This window comes from Homo sapiens, chromosome 18, assembly GCF_000001405.40.
Source record: "Homo sapiens chromosome 18, GRCh38.p14 Primary Assembly".
In the NCBI taxonomy this organism is placed as follows: Eukaryota; Metazoa; Chordata; class Mammalia; order Primates; family Hominidae; genus Homo; species Homo sapiens.
Window position 1 is genome coordinate 35,431,721 of NC_000018.10, and position 10,450 is coordinate 35,442,170.

The window sequence follows — 10,450 nt, forward strand, 5'->3', positions numbered from 1 at the left end:
ACCATTTTATCTTGGCTCATGGCCCCTTCTTCATCTTCAAAGCCAACAATGGTGCATGTCTCTGGCCATTTGTTTTTGGGATTTAAATTTACATTAAAACAAATTTAAATTAAAATTTGTTTTAAATTTTAATTTAAAACAAAATTGTGGCCACAGCATGGATTGTGCTTCTATATTTATTTGCTCAGCTTCAAAAGTAAGACTAGTCCAGCCTTTATCCTGGGCAGGCTGTGGTCAACAAGCCACCAATCTCTTCAGTGGGGCCAATATCAGAGGACTGGCATGGGGACCTCAGATATCCATCAGGTTCCTCTCTCAGGAACATGGGAGCAGTGATCTTTTGGGGGGCCACATGGACACTGCATCCCCTGCCTTGGGCACTGGATGGTATTATCTTGCTGGAATTCCCTTCCAACTCTGCCAAGAATGTCTTTGAGACAGAGAGACTGATGGGAAGAAAGTGAGGAGGACCAGCTCTAATGAGGTTCAACTGCAGAGGTTTCAGTGTTGGTTGTGCTGTTTGACTTCACTGGGACCCCATCCTCCAGTTTCAAGCACTTCTCAGAACTCATGATTATTCCTCAATCTGAAACTTTAGAGAGGTTGGGGGACCACTTCAGACACCTAAGGGCAACAGAAAGGAAGCGCCGTGTGCCAGCACTCTACTGTCATTCGTGGTGAAAAGCTTCCTTCTCTTTCCTATTTTTTGTGGTTGGCAAAATATAAAAGGTCTTTCTACTTATTTCAAAAGGAAAAATAGAATGAGGGAGGGAGGGGGAGGTAAAGGCAGAAAGAGAGAGATCAGTTCATTTTTGTTTGGGGAAAACTTTTAGTCTATAACAGCAGCAAACATGTATTGTGGCAGTGGCCTCAGCCCTGCTGAAGGAAATCCAGGCCACATTAAAATCTGGGGAATTTGAAACGGCAGTGTTTGTAGTGGCCTGCAGATTTCCACTGGCAATTTCTTTAAAGCCAAAGAGTTATAATTAAAATAGAAATGGATCCAATTATTTCTGCCTCCTGTCTGAAAGGATGTAGCTGGTAATGAGAATCACATGTCTAAATTTCAGCTCCTTCTATTTCCAAGCAAGTTGCCCCATGAGAGAAATTCTTTCTTTTCAGCAAATCTCAGTAAACCACATTTCTCCCTCCTCCTTAGCTACTGTGGTTTTGCACTGATTTTTACAAGTCCCAGCAATGGAACTCAGTCATAGTAAATGTTCTTATTTTTCTCTCCTTTCTACTCTTTATAAGACATGTCAGGGTGATAAGACTTATTTTTTTGTTTCAAAGAGACAGAGATTAGAAGAGTGGGAGGGCTTAGTCTTAACCAGAAAAGATTTACCTTATCAGGAACAACAGGCTAGGTAGCTTGGCCATTGCCACTTGGGATATTCTTAGGCTAAGGGAGGGAGGTGAGGAGGTGACTAGGTGATGGGGGTAGAAGGGGTGTGTAAGGTGGTATAGGTGTACAGGGAGGCCAGTCTTGGGAAGAATTTTACCCACTGGGTGAGTGAGGCTCAGATAACATGGTGGTCAACAATGTGCCTTAGAAATGGCAAAGCCTATACTGGGACAGAATGCCATGGTCACCATGAATAAATATATAATACTGTTGTTCTTATCAGCATTACTGACTATTCATGATAGATTTGATCTGTGCAGTGCAGATCTATTCAAGTTCCAAAGGACATTCCAAGCCTCCATTCCTTCCACTTGCAGAGCCAGCCCCCAGTGCCAAGATGCTATATACATTCACATACAAGCCTTTGTGTAGACACGTGTTTTCATGTGCTTATTGGTCATTAGAATATCTTTTTTTTGGTGAAATAGCTACTCAAATCTTTCACCCATTTTAAATTTAAGTTGCTTGACCTTCTATTATTGAATCATAAAAGTTTGTTATGTATTCTAGATACAAACCCTTTATCAGACATGGATCTGCAAATATTTTCTCATTGTCTGTGATTCATCTTTTTTTAAATGGTCTCTTTTGTAGGGCAAATGTTTTTAATTTTGATGAAGCCAATTAATTCCTTATTTTGGTAACATATTGTCTTTTTCATGCCATACTTAAGAACTCTTTACCTAATCCAAGGCCACAAAGATTGTCTACAATGTTTTCTCCTAGAAATTTTAGTTTTTACTCTTACTTTTAAGCCTGTGATTCATTTTGGGTTAATTTTTGTACATGTTGTGATTTAAGGATCTAAATTGATTTTTCTGCATATGGATATCAAAATGTCCTAGCAATATTTGTTGAAGACTATTCTTTCTTAACTGAACTACCTTAGCACCTTTGTGAAAAATCTATTGACCATAAATGTAAGGATGTATTTATGAACTCTTAATTCTGTCCCATTGCTTTATACATCTACCTTTATGCCAACAGCACATTGTCTTGATTACTGTGGCTTTGTAGTAAGTTTTGAGGTCAAGTAGTTTGAGTCCTCCAACATTGTTCATCTTTTCAAAAATTTTTTTGGCTAATCTAGGTCCTTTGCATTTCATATACATTTAGGATTGGATTGCAAATTTCTATAAGAAATCCCACTGAGATTTTGATAGGGATTCTGTTGAATCTATAGGTCAATTTGGGGAGAGCTGCCATATTAATAATAGTGTGTCTTTCAATTCATAAAAATGGAATATGTCACCATTTATATAGATTTTTAATTTCTCTTATAATCTTTGTACTTGTAATGTATAAGTCTTGTAGTTCTTAGTTAAGTTTATTCCTAGATATTTTATTATTTTGTATACTATTGTGGACAAAATTTTTTAAATTTCATTTTTGGATTGTTCATTGTGCATATGTAGGAAATATGTAGGAAAGATTGATATTTTATGTATTGATCTTTTATCCTGAAACATTTCCAGACCTAGTACCACTATGTATATGTATATATGCTATATATATGTAAAAAGGTTTTCTACATACTGGATCATACTGTCTGTGAATAAAAACAAAGTTTTATCTCTTCTTTTCCAGTCTGTATACAATACACTGGATTGCCCTTTCTTGTTTTCTTTTATTGACCAGAACCTCCAGTACTACACTGAATAAGAGTGGTCAGAGCAGATCTCCTTTGGTTTTCAGCCTACACGTGTCTTTGAATTGAAAATGTATGTCTTATAGACAAAATATAATTGGATTTGCTTTTTTAAATTTAGTCTGAGAATCTGTGATTTTGACTGAAGTATTTATTCCATTCACTTTTAATGTAAGTATTAATATGATTAGAATTAAATGTGTCATTATGCTATTTGTTTTTCATATGCTTTGTGTCTTTTCTGTCCCTCTATTCCTCCTTTACTCCCTTCTTTGTGTTAAGCAAATAATTTTGTATAGTATTTTAACTCCTTGGTTGATTTTTAAACTATAATTTTGAGTTATCATCTTAGCATTTGCTCTAGGAATTACAATATGAGTTTTAACATACCACAACACACTTCAAGCTAAAACTAATTTAATCCAGTAAAATATAGCAACTTTCCTCCAATCCAGCTCAATTTCCTCCCTACCCTACTCTCACTTTTGTGCTGTTAGTATCGTACATTACTACATCTATTTATATTTTAAACCAAAAAGTACAGTTTTTTTGCATATCATACCATTTAAAGAAATAATAGAAGAAAAAATGTATACTCATTAAGTCTTTTATAATTACCCATATGTTAACCATTTTCAGTATTTTTCATTTCTTCTTGTGGATTCAAGTTATCAACTGGAGTAATTTTCATTCCCATCTTGAAGGATTTTGTTTAGTATTTTTTGTAAGGCAGGTCATTAGCGATATATTATCTCAGTTTTTGTTTATCTGAAAATGTCTTTATTTCACTTTCCTTTTCGAAGGATAATCTTGCTGAATATAAAATTATTGGCTGACAAATGTTTCAGTGTTTTGAATATGTCTTTCTACTGCTTTCCGGCCTCCACTGTTACTAATGAGGATTTAACCATGATTTGTACTATTGTTCTCTTATAGATGATTAGTTTTCCTCTTGCTGCCTTCAGGATTTTCTCTTTGCTTTTTGATTTCAACAGTTTGATGTGACTAAGTGAAGATCTCTGTGATTTTCCTACTTGGGGTACAGTGGGGTTCCTAGATCTATAGTTAATGTTTTTCCTCAAATTTGGGAGGATTTGAGTACTATTTGTTCAATTTTATTTTCCTGCCCTTTTCCTCTTCTCTCATTTTGAAACTCCTCTTCCACAGTTGTTATGCTTGATGCTGTCTCGTAGGTCTCTGAGACTGCTCATTTTTCTTCAATCTTTTTTCTCTTTGTTCTTCAGATTGGATAACATTCTATCTTTAGTAGGGATTCCATATAATCTTTTTTTATTTTGTTACTGCATTTTTCAGCTCTAGAATTTCCATTTGGTTCTTTTTTAAAAATGTTATTTCTTTATTGATATTCCTACTTGTTGAGTCACTTTCATAATATTTTCCTTAAATTATTTAAGCATGATTTCCTTCAATTTTTTTATCATATTTAAAATAGCAGCTTTGAAGTCTGTCTGTTAAATCAACATCTAAAGCACTCAAAGACCATTTCATTGACGTCTCTCCTGCCCTCCACTCCACCCCCTAGTATGGATAATACTTTCTTCATTTTTTTTCTATGACTCATAAACTTTTATTGAAAATTTCATATTTTAGATAATATATCATAAGAACTCTGGATTCATTTTTCCTTTCAACCTCAGAGAGTCTTGGTTGTTGCTACCTTATATTAGTTTATAACTTGCCTGGACTTGATCTGCAGAATCTGTTACCCTTCAGTGTGCATCTGCTGATATCCCTGATCAGTTTTTTTAAAAAAATTCTTATTTGTTGGCTGGGCGTGGTAGCTCACACCTGTTATCCTAGCACTTTGAGAGGCCGAGGAAGGTGGATCACCTGAGGTCAGGAGTTCAAGACCAGCCTGGCCAACATGGCGAAACCCCGTCTCTACTAAAAATAAAAATACAAAAATTAGCTGGGTGTGGTGGTGGGTGGTGGGTGCCTATAATCCCAGATACTCAGGGGGCTGAGGCAGGAGAATAGCTTGAACCCGGGGAGTGGGGGCTGGGAGGGCGAGCGGAGGTTGCAGTGAGCCAAGATCCTGCCACTTCACTCTAGCCTGGGTGAAAGAGTGAAACTCCATCTCCCAAAAAAAAAAAAAAATTCTTACTTGTTTTTTTGCACAGGTGGAAGGGTTGGCTTCTTATGGGTCACCTTTGTGTCTGCACAGCTTAATGAGCACTCAAAAACTGGTCAGAAATTGTGTTCAAATACCATACTTTGCCACTGGTGGATCTGTGATTGAAATGGGAAATGTATTCAAATTTGGGCCAGTTTTCATCTCTGCCCTAGGTGTTATGTTAACACTGGGCCCTCTTGGGTCTCCACTGTGCATGCATACAGGTTCCCAGACAGACAGGGATATGGAATGCTTGTCAAGCTCTCAATGCTAGTTCATTTCCACGACCTTCCTGTTAAATTTCTGGTTAGTTCAATACTGCTCATCCCAACCAGGATTGCAACTTCAGTCTAGGAAATCTGCAAGCTTTTCCCACTTGCTGCTGACTGTGGGTTTCTACTTTTCACTTCAAATCAAGTGAAGGCCTGTGCTGTCCAGGTCAAACAACCATGTTGACTGGTGGAGGCAGTTTCAGCAAGAATGCCATGTATTTCCACTGTGTTTACTTGAATCTCCATAGTTTCTTGAGAACATAAATTTCTCAATTTGCTTGCCCCTTGTCAATTTCCAGAGCCCTGAAATAATTGTTTTCGACAATTTTGTCCAGCTTTATAATTGCTTTGCAGGGAGAGGATTTGTTAACCGCTTCACTCCTTCATAGCTGGTAGTCCCATCTATATACAGTATATTTCCAAAGAAATGGATTTTATTATTTTAAGCATGACATCTTATTAACTTAGATATGACTGCATACTAATAAGTAAAGCTAAATTTAGAGAAACTGTGGTTCATGATAGTGTGCCTTTGACATTTTATGATCCAAAACAGAAAAGGTTTTTCAAAAGGCATTTTGAGATAATTCTTAAGATTTCAAGCCTTTGATTTGAAAAGTCTATTTATCTGAATAGTAAGAGTCTCATATTTTCATAGCAGGAAATTATTTCAAGCATTTAATTTAGCAAATGAACTGGAGCCTAAATTAAAGAATTCCAAATTTATTCCTGACCCTGGTTGTTATTGAGGGATAATAAAATATTTCCCTGGTGTCCTGTGAGAGATTGAAGGAATTTTGAGGTCATGATTTATATATTTGCCATCCTCTTTTAAATGGATTCAGCTGTGATGTCTGCAGCACCAGGAGAATTTAAGTGTCTGCCTGAGAGCCAGGACTCTGTCCACGTCAAGCTTTCAGCCAGACCACTTCCCTCAGATCCTTTCTAGTTTTCTCCTTCTTCAGTCCATTCCAATGACCCCTGGTTTTGATGAGGCATAGGACGAGGGGCTACAAGATCAGGAGCACATCTAGCTCTGGCTTCTGAGGCCACATGATCACCTGGGGAGACTGAGACATCCAGGATCCTGGAAGCAGAGCAAAGAGCCATCTGTGAAGAGGAGGAAGAAGACATCTGAAGAAGAAGGTTTTTCTTCAAGAACCACCACACACTTGCCTTCAGATGAAGTTTGAAGCCATTAAGCTTCCCCTTCTTCTTAAAGCTCTCCTTCCCTATTTTTCCTGCATGCCCTCGTTTTTATCACTGACAACACATCGTTCCCTGAGTCTCACTGTCTCCCAAAGAGGAGCTTCAGGTTCATCTTTGTCTCCCCAAGTCTGAAAATATCAGATAATATGCTTGCAACTTCATCTTGATGGCTTAATTCCTGCTCCTGTCATTTACACTTCACTGCCCTGTTTTGTCTCCTTCATCCTGCCCTGCCCAGCCCTGGGAACTCTGTGTCTCCCATATCACTCCCCTGCTGGGGACCTGAATGGCTCCCTACTGCCTCCCTAAGCCAGTCCAAGTTCCCCTGGCTTCCTGGGCCTTCCAGAATCTGTCCTGGCCTTATCTACCCCCACTTACTTCCCAACTGGGAGGTGTTGTGGCCATGGCAGAGGAAGGGATAAAAGACCAGTCATTCAGCCTTGTGTGCCTGTAAAGCAGTGTACCTCTAACAAAAATTTCCTGGCTTAAGAGCATAAAAATAAGTTTTACACAAAATCAATAACAGAAGCACTCAGATTGAAGCATATTTTTAAAGGTATTAGTGGGAGTGATTCAGAGTCAGCAGACCCAGGGTGTGGACATGAGCTCAGAATGGCTTCTCTGGAGCAAAATCTGTGACTTGATCCCGCAAAGCAAAAGCTGCCAGTCCTTTCTCATCACTGTCTCTTTCCTGGTGTGACATGACTATGGTCAGAACTATGTTCTCCAAAAGGATCCACTGAAGTCCTACCCCCAGTACCTCAGAGTGTGACCTTATTTGGATATAAGGTCATTGCAGATGTAATTAGTGAAAATGAGGTCATTAGGGTGGGCCCTAATTTAATATGACTGGTGTCCTTATAAGAAGAGGGAAGAGGCCGGGCGGTGTGGCTCATGCCTGTAATCCCAGCACTTTGCGAGGCCGAGGTGGGTGGATCACCTGAGGTCAGGAGTTCGAGACCAGCCTGGCCAACATGGTGAAACCCCATCTCTACTAAAAATACAAAAAAATTAGCTGGGCGTGGTGGCAGGTGTCTGTAATCCCAGCTACCCGGGAGGCTGAGGCAGGAGAATTGCTTGAACCTGGGAGGCGGAGGTTGCAGTGAGCTGAGATTGCGCCATTACACTCTAGCCTGGGCAACAAGAGTGAAACCCCATCTCAAAAATAAAATAAAATAAAAATAAATAAAAATAAATAAATAAAAAAAAGGAAGATGATGTGATGCGAAGACACAGAGAGAGGCCAGTGTGTGAAAATGGAGGCTGAGATTGGACTTATGTTACCATAAGCCAAGGAATACCTGGGGCTATCAGAATTTGGGAGAAGCAAGGAAGGATCCACCCCTAAGAACTTTAGGGAGGGTATGCCCTGATTGTACCTTGGTTTTAGACATTTAGTCTTCAGAACTGAGAGAATAAGTTTCTGTCATTTCAGCCCAGCCAGTTTGTGGTGCTTTGTTACAGCGGCCCCAGAAAACTGATAAACATGATATGCATATTTTGTTAAAGTCTGTTCACTCCGACTTTGACTTCTACATATCCAAGATAGCAGTCCTGTGTCTGCTATCTGGGACAAAAGCCCACCTGCCCTGTCCTTCTCTCCTGGGCTACCAGGTCCTGCCATGTGTGGGTTTGAAGCTTTGGGAAGCAGACACATTTAATAGATTGAGTTTCATTTTTCCCACAACTTCTCACCCTCACAGAGGAAGGTATAACTCATGCTCACTGTGAAATCAGGGCTGTTCTTGGGCCCCTAGCGAAGTGCTATCCAGACCTGGCTCTGTGACTCTGAGGAAAACGGCAGGAGTGTGAGGCCAGTGCCCTGGATGCAAAGTGCTATCCTTGGGAGAGGCCAAGCAGGGATGGCTGACCGGTGACGATGGTGGCAAGTGACTCCGTCTCTGGACCCTGTCTTTCCTCCTCCCCACACTGTTCAGGGCTCTTGCACAGGCTGTTGCCTCCACTGGGAACTCTCTAACCCGGCTCTTTCTCCTACTTTGTGCCTCGCCTAAGTGTCACCTTCTTCCTTAAGGGAGCGACGTTGTCTCCCCTCCCCATATGCATCCTCCCCAGCCCGTTCTTTGCTTGTCTCATAACATTCATTATTATTCCTCACTATTTTACTTGCTTGCCCACTTGTGGTGAACTGTCTAACAGTGATGCCAGCTTTGTCCCCCATGGGCCCCTGTAGTCTAGTTACTCAGCAGCCAGAGGAATCTGTTGAAACCGAAGTCAGCCCACATCACTCTGCTGTTCAGAACCCTCTGAGGCTCCCCAGACCACTAATAGTAAAAGCCCAGGACCTTACCATGCCTACTGGGGCCCCTGGGTCCAGCCCCAGCTATGTCCCTGATGCATCACCTTGTTCATCACACCAATTCCTTAGTGCCACTGAGCAGGCCAGGTGCTCACCTGAATTGGGGCCTCTGCCAGGGACACTGTCTCCCCAGATACCTGCACGGCCATCTCTTTCACCTCTTTCAAGTATTAGCTGAAATATCACCCTCTCAGTGAGCCCACCTTGGCCACCCTATTTTTTAAAAATTAAAGTTTTTATTGTGAGATAACTGAAGATTCACATGCAGTTGTAAGAATGCAGAAAGATACCTGGTACACTTTACCCAGTTTCCCCCAGTGGTAATCTTGTAAACCTATGTACAATGGCACAACCCGGATATTGACATTGATACAGTTAAGACACCAGGTATTTCCACCACCGCAAGGATTCCCATGTCTCCAATTTTTAGCCAAACACTTTGCTCCTGCACCACTCCCTCCATAAACCCTGGTAACCCATCACCTCTTCTCCATTTCTATGATTTTGTCATTTCAAAAATGTTACATAAACGGAATCATGTAGTATGCAAACTTTGGGGATTGACTTTTTTCACTCAGAATAAATCCTGGAGATTTATCAGGTTGTTGTGTGTATCCATAGTCAGTTTCTTTTTATTGCTGAGTACTATTTCATGGTATGGATGTACCACAGTTTGTTTAACCATGCTGCAACTGGAAGACGGCTAGATTGTTTCTAGTTTGGGGCCATTATAGATAAAGCTGCTATGAAAATTCATGTGTATGCTTTAATCTGAATACAAGTTTCCATTTATCTGGGATAAATGCCTAAGACAACAATTGCTGGATCACCTATTAGTTGCATAGTTACTTTAAAAATTTTTGTTTTTTAGAGACAGGGTCTCACTGTCACCCAGGCTGGAGTGCAGTGGTGCCATCATAGCTCACTGGAGACCCAAACTCCTGAGCTCAAGTGATCCTTCCAACTGAGCCTCCTAAGTAGCTGGGACTACAGGCACATGCCACTGTACCTGGCTAATTTTAAAATTTTTTTATGGAGACTGAGTCTTGCTTTATTGCCCAGATTGTTTGAACTCCTGGCTTCCAACAATCCTCCTGCCTCAGACTCTCAAAGCACTGGGATTACAGGTGTGAGCCACTGCACCCAGCCCTACGTATTTACTTTTTAAGGAAGCTGTGGCTATTTTATTTTGAACTGTACTCTCCTCGGCCCCTAGCCCCTTCCCCAAACATCTGATACCTTTCACCTGCTTGCTTTTTAGAAGCACTGATGCAGACACCAGATATGAAGTCAGACGTCTGACCAGTGTTCGTATATCAGGGGAAAGCTTGCTGGAATCACCAGCGCACACAAAAGTCAACATGCCCACAAACTGCGTAATGCGGTGATGATGACAAGACAGAATCTGTGCAAGAATTCCCCAGATGAAGCACTTTGCTAGATTTACAAGAAAATCACATTGAGT

General features: G+C 40.4%; 1 long non-coding RNA gene across 1 annotated transcript, besides 1 other annotated feature; it reads right to left on the bottom strand.

Moving 5' to 3' along the window:
• Nucleotides 503–716: a silencer, noted in NCBI's record as "fragment chr18:33012187-33012400 (GRCh37/hg19 assembly coordinates)". NCBI's record gives its function as "represses an EF-1alpha promoter that drives an FKBP-Casp9 reporter gene in an ReSE screen in K562 erythroleukemia cells {active_cell/tissue: K562}" and the evidence as "EXISTENCE:reporter gene assay evidence [ECO:0000049][PMID:32094911]".
• LOC124904284 (uncharacterized) lies at nucleotides 3,454–7,451 on the bottom strand. Its single transcript, XR_007066341.1, has 2 exons — nucleotides 7,047–7,451; nucleotides 3,454–6,569 (listed from the first exon to the last, which is right to left on the bottom strand). It is a non-coding gene; the product is annotated as an uncharacterized LOC124904284 (long non-coding RNA).
• Between the last annotated feature and the right edge of the window lie 2,999 nt (nucleotides 7,452–10,450).